The sequence below is a fragment of the Homo sapiens genome, chromosome 1, assembly GCF_000001405.40.
Source record: "Homo sapiens chromosome 1, GRCh38.p14 Primary Assembly".
Classification (NCBI taxonomy): Eukaryota; Metazoa; Chordata; class Mammalia; order Primates; family Hominidae; genus Homo; species Homo sapiens.
Window position 1 is genome coordinate 151,232,851 of NC_000001.11, and position 20,634 is coordinate 151,253,484.

Genomic DNA, 20,634 nt, shown 5'->3' on the forward strand with positions numbered 1-20,634 from the left:
AGGACTTTGGGAGGCCGAGGCAAGAGGATCACAAGATCAGGAGATCAAGACCATCCTGGCCAACATGGTGAAACCTCGTCTTTACTAAAAATACAAAAAATTAGCCAGGCGTGGTAGCGGGCGCCTGTAGTCCCAGCTACTCAGGAGGCTGAGACAGGAGAATGGCGTGAATCTGGGAGGCGAAGTTTGCAGTGAGCCGAGATCCTGCCACTGCACTCCAGCCTGGGTAACAGAGCAAGACTCCGTCTCAAAAAAAAAAAAAAAAAAATGTTGTTCAGTTTTGTGCTTTTCACCCCATTTCTTTTGCCTCTCTATGGTAAAAGGGGTTTTGTTTATCTGTTCTGTTTTAAGTGTTGTTGATCTCCCAGGCTCAAGTGATCCTCCCACCTCAGCCTCTCACGTAGTTGGGACTAAAGGCACGCACCACCACACCTGGCTAATTTTTATAAACTTATTTTCTTTTATTTTTTCGTGACGGAGTCTCGCTTTGTTGTCCAAGCTGGAGTACAGTTGCACAATCTCGGCTCACTGCAACCTCCGCCTCCCAGGTTCAAGCAATTCTCCTGCCTCAGCCTCCTGAGTAGCTGGGATTACAGGCATGCGCCACCATGCCAAGCTAATTTTTTATTTTTTAGTAGAGATGGAGTTTCACCATGTTGGTCAGGCTGGTCTTGAACTCCTGACCTCATGATCCGCCTGCCTTGGCCTCCCAAAGTGCTGGGATTACAGGCGTGAGCCACCGTGCCCGGCCTAATTTTTATAAATTTTTAGTAGAGATGAGGTCTTGCTATGTTACCCAGGCTGGTCTCAAATTCCTGAGCTCAAGTGATCCTCCTGTTTGGCCTCCCAAAGTGCTGGGGTTACAGGCATGAGCCACTGCACCTGGCTATTTTCGTCTTCTGTTCTTAGTTCAGCTTCTAGTTTGGGGAATGAGGTAGGTTATTTCCCTTGGTAATACTCTCTGCAGCCTTACTCTGATTGCTATTGGAGGTTCTGGAGAAGTTAGGTAACTCTCCTTACCTGCCTTACCATCCCCAAGAATATACTATACCCAGGGCAGAGAGTGTCGTCTTCTCTTAAATCTCTCTGAAGAAATATATCCATCTTATATTGGTATCCTGGCTGATTTCTGTATTGGAGAGTCTGTGGCACAGCTTGATGGTGAACTTACCATTGAAATAGATGCATAGGGAAATGTAAAGCATATATGATGTAGGTTTATGGACACATTGTGTCTAAATCTCATATAGGAGATAAAGGGAGGATGGGTGGTAACTTTTACTGGTGAGTTTCACTGAAAATCAGCTAAGTTGTTCTCCTACTTCTGTTTCCTTTTGTGTTCTCAGAACCTCAACCAGAACCCTCGGACTTTGCTGCCTAAATTCTATGGACTGTACTGTGTGCAGGCAGGTGGCAAGAACATTCGGATTGTGGTGATGAACAATCTTTTACCAAGATCGGTAAAAATGCATATCAAATATGACCTCAAAGGCTCAACCTACAAACGGCGGGCTTCCCAGAAAGAGCGAGAGAAGCCTCTTCCCACATTTAAAGACCTAGACTTCTTACAAGACATCCCTGATGGTCTTTTTTTGGATGCTGACATGTACAACGCTCTCTGTAAGACCCTGCAGCGTGACTGTTTGGTGAGTTTGTTACTTAGACATCAAAAATCTCAGTTACTAAAACAGCTTGATTGTTCTTAGGCATTAAGTTTGTGGGAGATGGAACTCTGTTCCTTAGCACTGTATGTCCTGGGCTGTATTTAAAATAAGTCTTAATTAGTTCATTGCCATTCCTTTACATTTTTACTTTCTCCCCGTTTATCCTCCCACAATGGGATTTATTTCCTTCTCTAGCTAGCCTGGGCCTCACAGTCAAATGTTCTGCTTATTTTCATACCAACATCATCCTTCCTCAGATTTTGGTCCTGGCTGCCAAATCCAAATTTATATTTTGGAAGCTGAGTGCTGCTGAAGAATATTACACAACCGTGTATACTGGCATCTACAGAATTATGATATCCAACCCCACTTGGGCTTTCAATATCGATCTTCAGTCCATTTGCTGTTGCTCTCAATAGGGATTTCAGATGTTTGGCATTCTAATCAAACCATTTTCTGACTCTCATCTCCCTAGCTTTGTTTCTCAACAAGCTACCTTAACTTTTTATCCTATTTCATCCTCTCATGCTGCCCCTGTCACCAATGGATAAATGTATCTACATTTTACTTTATTTTTTATTTTTTGAGATGGAGTTTCACTCTTGTCACCCAGGCTGGAGTGCAATGGCACGATCTCGGCTCACTGCAATTTCCACCTCCCAGATTCAAGCGATTCTCCTGCCTCAGCCTCCCAAGTAGCTGGGATTACAGGCGCCCATCACCACGCCTGGGTCGTTTTTGTATTTTTAGTAGTGACAGGGTTTCACCACGTTGGTCCCGCTGGTTTCAAACTCCTGACCTCAAATGATCTGCCTGCCTTGGCCTCCCAAAGTGCTAGGATTACAGGTGTGAGCCACCGCACCCGGCCTAGATATCACTCTTGACCTCTGTACTCTTCTGTCATGTGAACACTTCCCACTGTTGCACATATTAAACTGTATTGTGTTTATTTTACATTTGTATCCCTTTCTAAATGTATAATGTCCTTGAAGACAGAAACTCTCTCTTTAATATCTTTATATCTCTGTAAGGAGGCACAGTGCCTACATGGTGGAGATTCAGTAAATGTTTAACTGAATTGAAGCTAGTCATACAAGGTCCTACCACAGATCTGTTCTGTCACAAAGTGTACTTTACCAGAACCTCATTGTGGAATCTTCACAGCACAAATATGTATTCCTTGTTCTTTTGAGAAGGTAGTGTTCTCTTCATGGAGACATACATGGAAAGAACAAAGATGGTCTTGTGGGCTAGGCAGTGGGACTTGGAAAAATTATATTAACTCAAATGAGAGAAAGCTAAGGGTATGTAAATAAAGACTAACCAGGCCGGGCGTGGTGGCTCACGCCTGTAATCCCAGCACTTTGGGAGGCTGAGGCAGGCAGATCACCAGGTCAGGCGTTCGAGACCAGCCTGGCCAACATGGTGAAACCCCAACTCTACTAAAAATACAAAAATTAGCTGGGTGTGGTGGCACGTGCCTGTAATCCCAGCTACTTGGGAGGCTGAGGCAGGAAAATCGCTTGAACCAGGGAGTTGGAGGTTGCAGTGAGCCAAGATCGCGCCACTGTACTCCAGCCTGGCGACAAAGCAAGACTCCGTCTCAAAAAAAAAAAAAAAAAAATTTAGCCTTACAGGTTCACTGTAAGGCTAAATTAAATAATTACATCATGAAAGCTGTCAAGCCAGGCGTGGTGGCTCATACCAATAGTCCCAGCACTTTGGAAGACTGAGATAGGCAGATCCCTTGAGCCCAGAAATTAGAGACCAGCTGGGCAGCATGGTGAAACCGTCTCTATGAAAAATAAAAAATTAGGCAGGTGTAGTGGTGTGTGCCTGTAGTCCCAGCTACTTGGGAGGCTGAAGTAGGTGGATATTTTGAGCCTGGGAGGTTGCAGCTACAGTGAGCCGAGATCACACCACTGCACTCTAGCCTGGGTTACAGATTGATACCCTTTCTCAAAAAAACAAAAAAATTGTGAGATCCTGAAAAATATTTTTATTTCTTCCAAGGCTCAGATCATGTTTTTTTCCTTCCATTAGGTGCTGCAGAGCTTCAAGATAATGGATTACAGCCTCTTGATGTCAATCCATAATATAGATCATGCACAACGAGAGCCCTTAAGCAGTGAAACACAGTACTCAGTTGATACTCGAAGACCGGCCCCCCAAAAGGCTCTGTATTCCACAGCCATGGAATCCATCCAGGGAGAGGCTCGACGGGGTGGTACCATGGAGACTGATGACCAGTAAGTGGGCTCAGGGCCACTAGGGGGGAGAACATAGGCCCACAGCACTTTTCTTTTCTTTTTTTTTTTTTTTTTTTTTTAGTTTCACTCTTGTTGCCCAGGCTGATGTGCTGATGTGCAATGGCACGATCTCAGCCTACTACTACCTCCACCTCCTGGGTTCAAGCGATTCTCCTGCTTCAGCCTCCTGAGTAGCTGTGACTACAGGCACCTGCCACCACACCCAGCTAATTTTTTGTATTTTTAGTAGAGAAGGGGTTTCATCATGTTGGGCAAACTAGTCTACGAACTCCTGACCTCAGGTGATCCACCCGCCTTGGCCTCCCGTAGTGCAGGGATTACAGGCGTGAGCCACCGTGCCCGGCCACAGCACTTTTTCTTTAGGAAGGGACCCAGCTTCTGGAAAGGAGTAGCCTTGACTCAGCAGTTGGATCAGTAACATTATTGTTGACAGAAGTATAGAATGAGCTTGAACGAGCTTTCTTAATACAAAATGAAAAGAAGATTAATTTCGGGTTTATAGTATATGTGGGAAGGAGAGCTGTTCAAGAGTTAAAGACTTAAAAAATTATAGTCTTAAATGCATGTCTGCAAATTATATTAGAACTTTATTAGGGCTGGGCACAGTGGCTCATGCCAGTAATCCCAACACTTTGGAAGGCTGAGGCAGGCGGATCACTTGAGTCCAGGAGTTTGAGATCAGCCTGAGCATCATGATGAGACCTCATCACTACAAAAACTCAAAAATTACCTGAGTGTGATGGTGAGCACCTGTGGTCCCAGCTACTCAGGAGGCTGATGAGGCAGAATTGCTTGAGCCCAGGAGGTCAAGGCTGCAGTGAGCCACTGTACATGCCACTGCACTCCAGCTTGGGCAAAAAGAATGGGACCCTGTGTCAAAAAAAAAAAAATTGTTATAGACTTCTTTGTGGAAGGCATCCTTCTTCATCATGCCTAGTAAGTGTAATTACTGAAGTGTCACAAATATCTTAGATTGTTTCATTTTTTTAAGGTATCCTGTAATATGACTCTCAAGAAGAGTGTCTTAGTGGGCATAAATTAAGATAGCAAAAGTACTGAAGAAGTTGAGTTAATTAGGAGAGCATTCCCAAAATTGCTGAGTAGTGGCAATTTTAGATTCTCTTTGGTGGAATCAGAGTGGAAGAGGTAGGCAAGAAGATTTGGAGAAAACTAGATTATAATACATACTGTAGAGAGTTCCTGGGGTTAGAGGAAGGATCTCATTTTCTCCTGTTTTTTTAATGTATTTTTTTCTCTTTTTGTTTTCTTGATCACTTATTATCTGACCTTCTGGTTTATGGAGGATGAGGCAGTTATGTGTAGGTTTCACTTCCCCATCCTGATCTGACTAAACTAGCCAACAGATTTTCTCACCCTTTCCTTTTTGCCTTTTCCAGTATGGGTGGCATCCCTGCCCGGAATAGTAAAGGGGAAAGGCTTCTGCTTTATATTGGCATCATTGACATTCTACAGTCTTACAGGTGAGGAGCATATGGATCCCAAATTAAGAGAGGGTGGATACAGATAACCAGTCACGTTTCTCTTTTAGATAGGTTTGTTACCAAGTTCTTCCGGAAGCAAGAACAGTGAGTTGCAGTCTGGCTACTTACTTCATTAGTTTTCAGATGGTTTATTTCCTTGATTTTGCCTCTTTCCCCGGCCTTTATAACCCTTCCTCCCCCATCTCCCCAGACATAATGTATACCTTCTGTGGAAAGCTGAGTCAGTCCTTGGAAGCACCAGGGTAGAATATGCCATCTGTCTGGCTCTTTGCAAAAACCTATGAGATGAGTCATGTTCCACATGGGGATACAACTGGAAACGTTACCCTTTTCCAAGGAGGAAAAACAGGAGGGTCACTGTGTTCTGTAAAATGTATTAGACTGTGGAACTAAGAGGCAATGGAGTGATCATCAGGGAGGAGCTGGAATTGTTAGACCCCAGTTTTGTTCCTGTAAGGTTTTAAATACTAATGAGGACTGGACGGTACTTGATTTGTTGGTTCAGTATTATCATCCAGTTTTAACTACCCTTTCCAGTCTTGCCCATCTGTTCCTTCAGCTCTCCTTTTATAATAAATATTCATGTTCCTGATTTGTCAGGGACATAAATTGCCCTTTTCCCATGGGGGGAATAATTGACTTACCTAGAAACAACATTGGTCTCTGTGATGAACCAGCACTGCCATGCCTGTTCTTGGGAAAACCAGTGTACCAGTAGATGTGCTTTCTCAGCTTCTGTCTTTTCAAGATTTTCTATTACCCCTTTAACCCCCTAAAATATAAAGTTATTAAGGTCATTTATTTAAAAATGACGTGAGTAGGTGATGTACATTTTTCTTGCAGGTTTGTTAAGAAGTTGGAGCACTCTTGGAAAGCCCTGGTACATGACGGAGTAAGTAGTAATACTAGAGGCTCTCTTACCGTACACTTCTGCCTCCATCACTTCTGATTGGCCTCAGTTTCTTGCAATTTTTTCTTTTTTCTTTTTTCTTTTTTTTTTTTTTGAGACAGGGTCTCACTCTGTCACCCAGGCTGGAGTGCAGTGGCGTGATCTCGGCTCGCTGCAACCTCCGTCTCGCAGTTTCAAGTGATTCTCCTGCCTCAGCTTCCCGAGTAGGTGGGACCACAGGCGCGTGCCACCACGCCCAGCTAATTTTTGTATTTTTAGTAGAGATGGGTTTCACCATGTTGGCCAGGCTGGTCTCAAACTCCTGACCTCAAAGTGATCCGCCTACCTTGGCCTCCCAAAGTGCTGAGTTGAGATGGAGTCTCGCTCTGTCACTCAGGCTGGAGTACAGTGGCACAATCTCAGCTCACTTCAACCTCCATCTCCCAGGTTCAAGCAATTCTCATGCCTCAGCCTCCCATGTAGCTGGGATTACAGGTGCCCACCACCATGCATGGCTAAGTTTTGTATTTTTAGTAGAGATGAGGTTTTGCCATGTTGAACAGGCTGGTGTCGAACTCCTGACCTCAGGTGATCCGCCCACCTCAGCTTCCCAAAATGCTAGGATTACAGGTGTGAGCCACTACGTCTGGCCCCTTCCGTTTATTTCATCTGTAGGTTTTACCCTTCTGCTAGGGGCTCAGTCTGGGGGAAGATGGCCCTTGGACTAGAGTTCCTCTTGCCGGGCCTCCTAACTCTATAGCATTTCTTCTGCTCTGCAGGACACTGTCTCAGTGCATCGCCCAGGCTTCTACGCTGAACGGTTCCAGCGCTTCATGTGCAACACAGTATTTAAGAAGATTCCCTGTAAGTGGTTTCTACCAATTGACTGCCTACTCCTGCCCAGTGGCTCCCTTACCCCAAGAGAACAGAGGGCAGGACACCTCTGGTAGGGAGCTGCCAATGCCAGAGGCCTCTCCTTCCACCTACATCCCATGAGAGCCATTTCTTGTCCTTTGTGTTAGTCTGTCATAGTCATTTCCAAGTTGCTGTTTCCCCCTTGGCTCTTCCTGCATATGTCAATGAGGTGAGGACCATTTCTGGGGAATTGGGATTTGCAAAAAAATAAATAAATAAATAATGTGTAGTTGTGGATGTAGGATCCATGCCACAGAGATAGGCAGAGCCTATGTACAGAGATACGCAGTGAGGTTAATGGTGTTCTGTTTTGTCTTCTAGACTATCTCAGGTGGTTACAGAAGCATTTACTGATTTCTGCTTAGCACATGTTTTTAGTCTCTTTTCTCAACTTTCTTGTTTAGGAAGTGCCAATATTTTTTTGCAAATCTTCCATGCTGCTGCCATAGCAAATTCTAGCTTCTCTTTCCCTTCTTCTCATATTAGGCATCATTATTCCCATAGCGAGGGAGAGGGGACCTAGGCATGCCAGTCTTAAGGGATATGGAAAAACCAGGCTGGGTGCAGTATCTCACACCTATAATCCCAGCACTTTGGGAGACCAAGGCAGGAGGATCGGTTAAGCCCGATAGTTTGGAACCAGCCTGGGCAACATCATGAGACCTTGTCTCTACAACAAATTTTAAAAAGATAAAAAAATCTTTACAAAGTGATAAAAATTACAAGTATCAATTATTTAGTGCTGGGCACATACATGCTAAGAAAATGTAGAGTGAAAGAGTTATCTTTCTTGGCCCGGCACGGTGGCTCACACCTGTAATCCCAGCACTTTGGGAGGCCAAAGCAGGTGGATCACCTGAGGTCAGGAGTTCGAGACCAGTCTAACCAACGTGTTGAAACCCTGTCTCTACTAAAAATACTAAAATTAGCCGGGTGGTGGTGAGCACCTGTAATCTCAGCTACTCAGGAGGCTGAGGCAGGAGAATCACTTGAACACGGTAGGCAGAGGTTGCAGTGAACTGAGATAGTGCCATTGCACTCCAGCCTGGGTGACAAGAGAGGAAACTTCATCTCAAAAAAAGTTATCTTTCTCAGGTTTTACTATAGGATACTATTAAAGAAAAAGGGGGGCCAAGCGCAGTGTCTCACACCAGTAATCCCAGCATTTTAGGAGGCCGAGGAGGGCAGATCACAAGGTCCGGAGATTGAGACCATCCTGGCTAACACGGTGAAACCCCGTCTCTACTAAAAATACAAAAAAAAATTAGCCGGGCATGGTGGTGGGCTCCTGTAGTCCCAGCTACTTGGGAGGCTGAGGCAGGAGAATGGCATGAACCCGGGAGGCGGAGCTTGCAGTGAGCCAAGATGGCACCACTGCACTCCAGCCTGGGCGACAGAGCAAGACTCTCGTCAAAGAAAAAGAAAAAGGGGGCAGGGCAGTGGCTCATACGTATAATCCCAGCACTTTGGGAGGCCTAGGTGGGCGGACCACCTGAGGTCAAGAGTTCGAGACCAGCCTGACCAACATGGTGAAACCCCGTCTCTACTAAAAATATAAAATTAGCTGGGTGTAGTGGCGCATGCCTGTAATCCTAGCTACCCAGGAGGCTGAGGCATGGGAATCACTTGAACTCTGGAGGTGGAGGTTGCAGTGAGCCAAGATCGCGCCATTGCACTTCAGCCTGGGCAACAAGAGCGAAACTCCATCTCAAAAAAAAAAAAAAAAAGGAATTATGCAATAGGGTACATTTCATCTGATGGAAGTAAAGCAGTCATCAAGGCTCCATGTTGGGGGGTTAGGTGTGGATATGTTTCCTTTCTTCTAGGTTTTCATGCCTCTTGGAAAGTGAAGTGAGCTAACACCTTGTTCTCTGAATAGTAATTCATAGGCCTGTCTTTGTTGACATTAGCCTTTTCACTTTTCAGACCAACTTTGGGTGTGTGTTGGGGATACTAGCAATTATTTGTATCTATGTCTTGGTAATAGTTGCTAAGGTAGTTGCTAAGTAGGCTCTCTCTTTCCCTTTTGAAGTGAAGCCTTCTCCTTCCAAAAAGTTTCGGTCTGGCTCATCTTTCTCTCGGCGAGCAGGCTCCAGTGGCAACTCCTGCATTACTTACCAGCCATCGGTCTCTGGGGAACACAAGGCACAAGTGACAACAAAGGCAGAAGTGGAGCCAGGTCAGCGCTAGGGCTGGGGTCCCCATGTGATTGGGTACTCCCTCCCTTCCTTCTGAGCCTTTATCTTGTCTGGCCAGGACCTCTGCTCCCATTTCTATCCAGGAAGCCTAGCTGCTACATATTTTTCCTTGTATTTACTGTACCCCATCTTCTCTATCTTTTTTCCAGGCGTTCACCTTGGTCGTCCTGATGTTTTACCTCAGACTCCACCTTTGGAGGAAATCAGTGAGGGCTCGCCTATTCCTGACCCCAGTTTCTCACCTCTAGTTGGAGAGACTTTGCAAATGCTAACTACAAGGTTGGTTTATTGGCCCCTTTCTCCATATAATCTTATCTCTCTTTTCAAGTCCTTGGAAACCTCTATAATTTGATTGCATCATAATAAATTACCCCAAAGATTAGTGGCTTAAAATAACAAACATATATCATACTTTCTGTGGGTCAGGAATCCAGGCCCAGCTTAGCTGGGTCCTCTGGCTCAAGATTTCTCATGAGGTGGCATTTAAGCTGTTGGCCAGGGCTGGGGTCTCATCTGAAGGCTCAAACAGGAAGATCTGCTTTTAAGCTTATTTATGTGGTTACTGGTAGGATTCTGTTCCTTGTGGGTTGCTGAACTGAGGGCCTTAGTTCCTTGCTGGCTGTTGTCTGGGGGCTTCCCTCAGTTCTTTGCTACATGGACTTCTCCATAGGACAGCTCAGAACATGGCACCTGGGCTATCTGACAAGTGAACAAGAGAGCATGTGCCTATGCAGAAACCATGGCCTCTTATAACTTAATCTCAGAATTGACATTCTACTTGTGCTACATTCTGTTCACTAAATGCAGCCCACACTCAAGAGGAAGGAATTACCCATGGGTGTGAATACCAGGAGGTGCAGGGATCATTGTGAGCCATCTTAGAAACTGCCTGTCATAGTCTGCTCTCTGGTCTCCAGTAATTTACATACCTCCATGTCGAAAATACACTGACCCCCTCCCAGGGTCTCATCCCATTGTAGCGTTAGCTCAGAGTCCAGAGTTTTATTACCTAAATTAGGTCCGGTTGGATGAGCCCCCCAGGTATAGTTCCTTAAGCACAGCTCCTCAAGTACAGTTCTTCTCAATCTGTGAACTTGTGGAACCAAAGAGACAAGTTATCCTTTCCCCATGTACCTAGCATACAATGGTGAGACAGGCATTAGATAACCAATATACACATTTCTGTACATAAAAGGGGAGAATGGGAGGCACAAAAAGGAGTCATTGATTTTATTTGCTGTTCCAAAATCCAGGAAATGTTGGAGTTTCTTTTATCAGGCCTCAAAGCAGAAGAATAATTCTCCGTGGTTCTTGGCTCTACCCTCTAGACTCTTGGTTTTGTCTTCTGAGTCTTCCTTTTTCATCAAAGCTAGAGTGTGTTTTTACCTGAGTTCTTTTCTCAGGCTGCTTCTTTCCAGTAGAATTTTAGGGGAACTAGTGGTCTCTATTTTGTACTGTTTCTGTCCTTTTTGATCCAAGATGGCAGTGTTTCTACTGATACAGAAGATTTTGTGGGCCTCCTGTGATTCTCCTTGGGATTTACTCCATTAGACAAAAGCCACACTCATAAATATCTTCTTTATGAGACCTAAGCTTCTTACAGACTCTGTTTTTCGGTTGAAAGGATCTGTGAAACATAATCTTCTGAACAGCCTTTTGTATGACTGAATAGCACAATCAGCCCTCCGTATCCACAGGTTCCACATCCCAGATTCAACCAACTGTGGACTGAAAATACTTGAGAGCCTGGTGTGGTGGCTCATGCCTGTAATCCCACCACTTTGGGAGGCTGAGGTGGGAGGATTGCTTGAGGCAGTTTGAGACCAGCCTGGTCAATATAACGAGACCCCATCCCTTTGAAAAAAAAAAAGAAAGAAACGAAAAAATACTGAAAAAAAAAAAAAAAGTCGTGAAAATGTTATGTTGTTGCTGATATGTACTGTACAGTTAGGCCTGTACTTAACATGTACAGACTTTTCTTGTCATTATTCCCTGAACAATATAGTATAACAACTATTTACATAGCATTTACATTGTATTAGTTATCATAAATAATCTAGGAATGATTTAAAGTATATGGAGGGCCAGGCGTGATGGCTCACGCCTGTAATCCCAACACTTGTGAGAGGTAGAGGCGGCCAGATTACTTGAGCCTAGGAGTTTAAGATCAGCCTGAGCAACATGGCGAAACCCCATCTCTACCAAAAATACAAAAAAATTAGCCAGGCGTGGTGGTATGTTCCTGTAGTCCAAGTTACTCAGGAGGCTGAGGCAGGAGGATCGCTCGAACCCCGGAGGCAGTGGTTGCAGTGAGCCGAAATCGCGCCACTGGACTCTAGCCTGGGTGACAGAGCGAGACCCTGTCTCAAAAGAAAAATAAATAAAAATAAAGTATATGGAGGATGTGTGTGAGTTATATGCAAATACCATAGCATTGTATATAAGGGACTTGTGCATTGTGGATTTTGATATTCAAGGAGGGGTCCTGGAACCAGTCCCCCACAGATATTGAGGGATGACTATACTCTGAACCAATACCTTTTGTTTTTCTGAGGTCTTAATAAGATGTTTCACAGTCATATGTTTGCCTTCATCTTTAGACCACATTTTCTTGGCAGTGCTCTGGAGCTTATCCTTGCTCAAAAGCCTTTTTTTTTTTTTTTTTGGTAGAGATGTCTCATTGTGTTAACCAGGCTGGTCTTAAACAATCCTCCTCCCTCTGCCTCCTGAAGTGAGCCACCGTATGTGGCCTGCCATTTCTTAATTTTAGCATCGTTTGCTCTCTGGAGAGGCTTAGAATTTTCAAAACTTATCAAGTTCTGGCATTTTTGTTTAATAGTCCTTCCCATAATTTCTTTATCTTCTCCTATATTTTATTATAAGCATCAAGAGAAAACCAGGTGGCACCTTCAGGACTTTGCTTGGAAATCTCCGTAGCTAGATTGTCCAATTCATTAGGCACATATTCTACTTCTCACATAATCACAAATCACATTGTTGCTAAACTTTGTGCTGCTGCCTTACTAGGATCTCCTTTCCTTCAAGTTCCAATAAAATTTTTCTCACTTTAAGCCCTCACTGGTAACCCCCTTTAAGTCCAAAATTCTATAAACAGCATATTCAGGACACTACCTTTTCACTAAAATGCTCCTCCAAGCCACCCCCAATGTTTTGTTTTGTTTTGATTTTGTTTTTCGAGATGGAGTCTCACTCTGTTGCCCAGGCTGGAGTACAGTGGCACGATCTTGGTTCACTGCAGTCTCTGCCAACAGGGTCTCCCTCTGTCACCCAGGCTAGAATGTAGTGGCACTATCTTGGTTCATTGCAACTTCCGCCTCCCAGGTTCAAGCGATTCTCCTACCTCAGCCTCCCGAGGAGCTGGGATTACAAGCGTGCACCATCATGCCTGGCTAATTTTTGTATTTTTGGTAGAGACGTGGTTTTGCCATGTTGCTGAGGCTGGTCTTGAACTCCTGGCTTCAGATGATCTGCCTGCCTCAGGCTCCCAAAGTGCTGGGATTATAGGCATGAGCCACTGCACCAGGCCACCACCCCCAAATTTTAGATTTTTGTTATAGCAGCACCTCAATTCCAGGTACAAAAGTCTGTATTATCTATTATTGTGTAACAAATTACCCCCAAACTTAGCTGTTGAAAACAAACATTTGTTATCTCAGTCTGGGTGTGGTGGCTCACACCTATAATCCTGGCACTTTGGGAGGCCGAGGAGGGCGGATCACCTGAGGCCAGAAGTTCGAGACCAGCCTGGCCAACATGATGAAACCCCATCTGTACTAAAAATAGAAAAATTAGCCAGGTGTGGTGATTTGTGCCTATAATCCCAGGTACTCAGGAGGCCGAGGCGAGAGAATTGCTTGAACCCGGGAGGCAGAGGTTGCAGTGAGCCAAGATAGTGCCACTGCACTTCAGCCTGGGCGACAGAGCGAGATCTGTCTCAAAAAGAAAACAAAAATTTGTTATCCCAGTTTCTGTACCTTAGCTGGATGCCTTTGGCTCGGGTTCTCTCGAGATTACAGTCAAGCTATTAGTCCAAAAGCTTATCTGAGGGAAGATCAGCTTCTCAGCTCACTTATATGGTTGTTGGCAGTATTCGGTTCCTTGTCACATCGCCCTATCCATAGCCAGCTCATAGCATAGGAGCTGGCTTTCCTCAGAGCAGGCAAGCAGGGGCTAGAGCATGAGTCCAAGAAGAAGATACAGTATTTTTGTAATCTAATCTCAGAATGGACATTCCATCTCCTGTGCTGCATTCTGTTCATGAGAAGAGAATCACTAAATGCAGCCCACACTTGAGAGAGAATTACACAATGGCATGGATCTCAGGAGGCAGGGATTATTGGGGGCAATCTTAGAGGGTACCTACGACACCTGGAGATTGAAACAGAAGAGGGCAGGGTACTGGGAAATATTTTATAGTATTCAAGAAGCTAAATATGGTTAATTAAAACAGTGTGCTTCTAAATCTAGTAGCTTCTCAGCCTCTTCTTTCCAAATTCTAAATTGATTCCAAAGTGAAAATTAGAGAAGCAGTATGAGATTTAAAAGGAGAGTCCTTTGTTGTTGTCTTCTAATTCTTTTTCTCTCTGCTTCCATTTTTTTTCTCCTGTTAGTACAACCTTGGAAAAGCTTGAAGTTGCAGAGTCAGAGTTCACCCATGTGAGTATCTGGGATGTGTGGGAGGTGAACGTTTTGCAAGGTATAAAGAGGATCACTGATGGCCTGGAGCAGGAAGTTAATTGTCAAGATTAGAGGATCTGGGTACCTCCTAAATCTTGTTTTTTATTTTTTATTATTTTTTTATTTTGTACTTATTTATTTATTTATTTATTTATTTTTGAGATGGCGTCTCACTCTGTTGCCCAGGCTGGAGTGCAGTGGTGCAATCTCAGCTCACCTGCAACCTCTGCCTCCTGGGTTCAAGCAGTTCTCCTGTCTCAGCCTCTGGAGTAGCTGGGACTACAGGTGCGTGCCACCACGCCCGGCTAATTTTTTATTTTTTAGTAGGCGCAGGGTTTCATCATATTGGACAGGCTGGTCTTGAACTCCTGACGTCGTGATCTGCCCACCTTGGCCTCTCAAAGTGCTGGGATTACAGCCGTGAGCCATTGCACCCAGCCATCGTGTTTGTGTTTTTGAGACGGAGTCTTGCTCTGTCACCCAGGCTGGAGTGCAGTGGCGCGATCTCGGCTCACTGCAAGCTACGCCTCCCAGGTTCACGCCATTCTGCTGCCTCAGCCCCTTGAGTAGTTGGGACTACAGGCGCCCACCACCATGCCCGGCTAATTTTTTGTATTTTTAGTAGAGCAGGGTTTCACCGTGTTAGCCAGGATGGCCTCGATCTCCTGACCTCGTGATCCACCTGCCTGGGCCTCCCAAAGTGCTGGGATTACAGGTGTGAGCCACCATGCGCGGCCGCCATCTTGTTTTTTAAAAAATATTTTTGGTACCTCATACTTGGAGGCTGAGGCTGAAATAGAAATTTCTTAACGCTTGAATTCCATTTCTGCTTAATCTCATACTCCACATCCTTAACTTTACACTCTCCCTTTTCAGTAAGCGCAAAGCCTCAGAAGACCTGGAACAAGATTCTGCCATCTCTGTGATCCCAAGATGTCAGCCCTTGCCCCAGCAATGCTGAATTTTCTTCTACTTGGTCATCAAAAAAGGAGTGTAATAGAAGTGAGGGGAGCTGCTCCTCCATCTTCTTCCTGAAGAAGAACCTTCTCTCCTTCCTCTTCCTCATGAATGGGCCTTAGTGCCTCAGAGAGTTGAGGACCGCAGCATCCCCTCCACTCCAGAGTTGGGTGGTATGGATTTTCAACTGGCCAACCCTTTGCCTCCACTATTGAATTTTTTTCAGACCCCCATTCTTCATGCTGGAAATGGGATTGCTGGACTTGGCAGCTTTCTTTCCCCTCGTCTTTGACTAGGAACCGGACTCTTAATTTCCTCAGGACAGACTAGCTGGCACATTATCCCTACCTTAGTTCTTTCTCTCTGACTCCTGGAAGAATACTCCTGTAATCTCTGTAAAGGTTTTTGGGGGATAAGGGTGTTTAACCACCTCCCAGCTTTCTTCTTCTTTTTTTTTTTCTGAAAAAAGGAAAAAGCACACAGCACACAATTTCAAGCCATTTTCAGATCAGAACTCCAGAAGTGTTGACAAGATGCCTATTCGTAGAGTTCCCTCAGAAGAGCCATGGTGTTTATGAAGAGAAGAGTAGTGATTGCTCTGCCAGAAGCAGCTCCTCTTTAAACTCCTCCTCTCTTGATGAATTTCTTAAGGCTGAAGGAATGAAGAGAGTGGGACATGGGGTAATCTTTATCCCTTTTGTTAAAACAGGAGGCAGCCATGGGCTGGGAGATCATAGCCCTTCCTAGGCAGAATCCTGTTCACTGCCAGGCTATAGTAATTATTACTATTTTGCAATTTGAAATATATTCTGGTTGTTTTTCTAAATGTGAAGACTTACCAAATGAATTTTAGATCATTCTCCAGAGGAGATTTTTTTTGCTCTTCTCATCTTTTCCAACAGTGTTCTCCTGTTTGTGGAGCTAAGGTAAAGAGGGGACACTTCTGTCTGTTTAACAGACAGTCCATATCTGTGAGGCCAGCAAATATTTTCTTAAACTCATGGGGAGACAGCAGATTCTTGCCTTGGTGAGGTCATTGCTGTGCCATATGTCCTACCCCCCTGTCTTCATGCAGGGAAGTTGGAAATGGGGGCTACATATGCCCTCTCCTCCCCGTCTACAAGAGTTGTGGTTTTCCATCTGATCCTTCCACTCTTGTCAGGGGAAGAAGGGGGCCTGGTATCTCAGGCAGATTGTTGAATTCCTGTTCTATCCCTTCTCTATCCCACCCTGCCTTGATAATATGTTAGCCCATACCCCAAATAACTGTCTATATTAGACACCCCCAGCCAGTTTCTGGCTGCCTGTCTTTGCTGCCATGTTTTTTACAAGAAGGAAAGAATTCTTGCTATTTTTTTTTCATAATTTACTATTTATGATGTATTTAAGTGTTTTATTAAGGACAGAGTTCTGTTAGGGGTGGGAGGGAATATTTGAGGGAGGGCTGGGTCTTAGGGAAAGGAATGGGGAAGCAACATTTTTATTAAGTGTTACTATTTGCCTCTACTTTGTATTGTTCAGAAATGGCAAATACAATATAAAAGTGATATATGGTTTTAATGTAATAAACTTTAATGAGTTATTTAGACCTCTTATTTTTTCTGATTCTTTTTCATATACCATCTGCTCACCCTCCTACTCCACCACCCAGGCTCAGTTTTGTTCATGTTGCCCTAAACAAAGGCTGCATACTTTCCAGCTTGCAACACTCCAGCTTCACTCTTAAGGCTTTATGTCCTTATATCCTCTTCCTCAGCAACCCCATTATCTTCACGAGGAAAAGCAGTGAATGAATATGAGGGGAGTTACTGTAGGTCTCTTGCCTAGGTTGCAACCCAATTTAACAGGGATTTGAGGTTCAAAACTCACTTTACTCAGTTAAGTGAGGAAAGGAGAGGGACAGTGGGAAAAGTAAGTTTGAGGTTAGCTGGCCCTAGTGATTCCCTCCCTTTCGTTCTCTTGACCTGGCCCTAGGGCGTCACTCTTAGAAGATCATAGAGATTGCTTTCTTTAGCTGTTTTCTTTTGTGAGGTTGAGCTAAGGCTCCTTTGATAGGAAACTAGACAAAAAAGTAGGGGCGGGCCAGGCGCGGTGGCTCACACCTGTAATCCCAGCACTTTGGGAGGTGGAGGCAGGTGGATCACCTGAGGTCAGGAGTTCGAGACCAGCCCAGCCAACATGGCAAAACCCCGTTTATTGAAAATTAGCAGGGGATGGTGGCATGCGCCTGTAGTCCCAGCTACTTTGGAGGTCAAGGCTGGAGAATTGCTTGAACCTGGGAAGCAGAGGTTGCAGTGAGCGAAGATTGCGCCAGTGCACTCCAGCCTAGGCGACTGAGACTGTCTAAAAAAAAAAAAAAAAAAAAGGAGCGGTGAGGTTCATTCTGAGGCATGAAGATAGGGAACCTTTGGAGAGAAGCAGTTAAGCAAACAGCTGCTTTTCATACCACTATTCCCTATCTTGTTAAGGGCACTCCAAATATTTATATAGCAGCTAATGAGCAATGCATGGAGTAGATGGAGATCAAAGAAATAATTGTCCTTCAAAAGTTTCTAGTTTCCAGGAGGAACACAAATCACAAAAACAATATGTTATATGTGAGACAGCTACTTAAGCTCTCTGAAGGTGGCACAGAACATAAAAGGGGGAAAAATTAGCAGTTACGTGCGAAAGAAGTGTTAAGAGAATGTTTCACTTCAGCACAAGGACCTAGATGCATGAGAATGGTCTGTTTTTGAGAACAAGGAAGAGATCATGATGAGAATATTGGAATAAGTATAGTTAGAGGCAATATTGGGAACCCTGAAATATTTTTTGCCCCAATAGGATGTGATACAAAATAATTGAGAGACTAACAAAGTTCCATCAGAATTAAACAGAGGATTGGCCAAGTCCAGTGGCTCACACCTGTAATCCCAGCACTTTGGGAGGCCAAGATGGGTGGATCACTTGAGGCCAGGAGTTCAAGAGCAGCCTGGCCAACAATGCGAAACACCATCTCTACTAAAAATACAAAAATTAGGCCAGGCGCGGTGGCTCACGCTCGTAATCCCGGCACTTTGGGATGACGAGGCGAGCAGATCATCTGAGGTTGGGAGTTCGACCAACAGGGAGAACCAGCATGACCAACATGGAGAAAACCCATCTTTACTAAAAATACAAAAAATTAGCTGGGCGTGGTGGGTGCACGCCTGTAATCCCAGCTACTTGGGATGCTGAGGCAAGACAATCGCTTGAACCTGAGAGGCAGAGGTTGCGGTGAGCCAAGATCGAGCCCTTGCACTCCAGCCTGGGCAGCAAGAGTGAAACTCCTTCTCAAAAAAAAAAAAAAAAAAAAAAAATTAACCGGGCATGGTGGCGGGCGCCTGTAATCCCAGCTACTCGGGAGGCTGAGACAGGAGAATCGCTTGAACCCAGGAGGCAGAGGTTGCAGTGAGCTGAGATTGCACCATTCATTGCACTCCACCCTGGCAACAGAGTGACACTCCATCTCAAAAAAAAAAAAAAAAAAAAAAAGAAGAAAGAAAAAGCAAGTACTTGGATTGGAAGAGGAATGGGGGATTCTCAAAGTTTCTTTTCATTTTTCTTTTCTTTTTCTTTCTTTCTTTCTTTTTTTTTTTTTTTTTTTTGAGACAGATTTCACCATGTTGGCCAGGCTGGTCTCAAACTCCTAGCCTCAAGTGATCCGCTCACCTCGGCCTCCCAAAGTGCTGGGATTACAGGCGTGAGCCACTGCATTCGGCCCAGATTCTCAAAGTTTTGAATTTGATTTTCCCACAGCCCCAGCCAGTCCTCCTTTTGTCTGGATAAGGAGAAAACTTTTTTCCCTAATAGGAATTGGAGGTTAACATGTTTTAGGCATAAATGTTCTGCATCCCTGACCTTGTCACTCAGAGTGTACTCAAAACTACTGAATGGGTGGTGTAGATAATCCTCTTATGATCAGAGGGTCCCTCTAGCGGTGAGCAGCGACTAGTGCTTATTCTCTAGCTATATGCTCTAATTTATATTCAGATACAAGTAGGGTCTATTAGTGTAAAACTTCTAACTAAAAGAGAAATTAAAATCATAGGATAATAAAGTTGGAAATCGTCATCTGGTCTGATATTTTACCCTTAAGCATGTCAATCTCAGCTATTCTGAGATGTATTCAGAGATGAAGTCTCATTCTTTATTAGTTTTGTTTTTCTTTTTTTGAGACGGAGTTTCACTCTTGTCGCGCAGGTTGGAGTACAATAGCACGATCTCGGCTCACTGCAACCTTTTCCTCCCGGATTCAAGTGATTCTCCTGCCTCAGCCTCCAGAGTAGCTGGGACTATAGGCACCCACCACAATGCCCGGCTAATTTTTGTATCTTTAGTAGGATGGGATTTCACCATGTTGGCCAAGATGTTCTCGATCTCCTGAACTTATGATCCGTCCGCCTCGGCCTCCCAAAGTGCTGAGATTTCCCAGCCTTGGTTTTCTTTTTTAGTCTTGCTCTGTTACCCAGAGCAATCTCAGCTCACTCTAGCCTTGACTTTCTGGGCTCAGGCGACTTTCCTACCTCAGTCTCTCAAGTAGCTGGGACTACAGGCTGGCACCATCACAATCAGCTAATTTTTGTATTTTTTTGTAGCGACGGGGGTATCCAGGCTGGTCTCGGACTCCCAACCTCAAGTGATCTGCCCACCTCGGCCTCTCAGTGCTGGGATTACAGGCGTGAGCCACCGTGCCCAGCTGGCCTTCTTTTTTTCATTATGGGAATTTCCAAACCAAAAGTAGAGTAGTATGGTGAACCACTATGTACACATAACCCAGCCTCAATAATTATCAACATAAATAAGACCAGCGTGGCCGGGTGCAGTGGCTCAAGCCTGTAATCCCAGTTTTCGGAGGCTGAGATGGGAGGCCAGGAGTTAGAGGTTGCAGTGAGCTATGTATGATTGCACCACTGCTGCACTCCAGCCCAGTGAGACCTTGTCTCTTTTGTTTTACTTTGAGACCCTGTCTCAAAAAACAAAACTATTTGTTTCTTCCAGAGGATTAAGTTAAATCCCAAACTTCATATACTTTTTTTATCTATGAATACAACATATAACCCTTAATAAAGCCTACTTTTATAAGGGTGATAACTTTAACACTATTATCATGCCTAAAAAAATTGCTTAATATCAAATATCCAGCTGATGTGATGGCTCACGCCTGTAATCCCAACACTTTGAGACTTTTTTTTTTTCAGAGATGGGGTCTGGCTATGTTGCCTACGCTGGTCTCGAACTCATGCGCTCAAGCCATCCTCCCACATCAAAAAATTAAAAACAAATTAGCTGGGCTTGGTGGCATGCACCTATAGCCCCAGCTACTCAGGAGGCTGAGGCAGGAGGATGGCTTGAACCCGGGAGGTGGAGATTGCAGTGAGCCGAGATCAGGCCACTGCACTCCAATCTGGGCAACAGAGCGACACCCTGTCTCAAACAATAAAACTTTGTAGAGACGGAGTCTGGCTGTGTTGTCCAGGCTGGTCTCAGACTCCTAGCCTGAGTTGATCCTCCTGCCTG

The 20,634-nt window shown here is 44.6% G+C and overlaps 1 protein-coding gene across 51 annotated transcripts in view; it reads left to right on the forward strand.

Annotated features, from left to right (window-relative positions):
- Window positions 1–16,681, forward strand: part of PIP5K1A (phosphatidylinositol-4-phosphate 5-kinase type 1 alpha) — a 54,113-nt gene extending 37,432 nt beyond the window's left edge. For 28 of the 51 annotated variants that reach the window (XM_047431638.1, XM_024450129.2, XM_006711568.5 and 25 more), the window contains 9 exons: window positions 1,347–1,646; window positions 3,708–3,913; window positions 5,332–5,415; window positions 6,280–6,328; window positions 7,105–7,189; window positions 9,273–9,419; window positions 9,588–9,717; window positions 14,070–14,115; window positions 15,013–16,681. In XM_047431638.1, the coding sequence (XP_047287594.1) occupies window positions 1,347–1,646; window positions 3,708–3,913; window positions 5,332–5,415; window positions 6,280–6,328; window positions 7,105–7,189; window positions 9,273–9,419; window positions 9,588–9,717; window positions 14,070–14,115; window positions 15,013–15,015 (1,050 nt within the window). In that variant the 3' untranslated portion in view covers window positions 15,016–16,681. The remainder of the gene's footprint in view (window positions 1–1,346; window positions 1,647–3,707; window positions 3,914–5,331; window positions 5,416–6,279; window positions 6,329–7,104; window positions 7,190–9,272; window positions 9,420–9,587; window positions 9,718–14,069; window positions 14,116–15,012) is intronic. The other 23 variants (XM_047431681.1, XM_047431701.1, XM_047431702.1 and 20 more) reach the window with 4 other exon arrangements.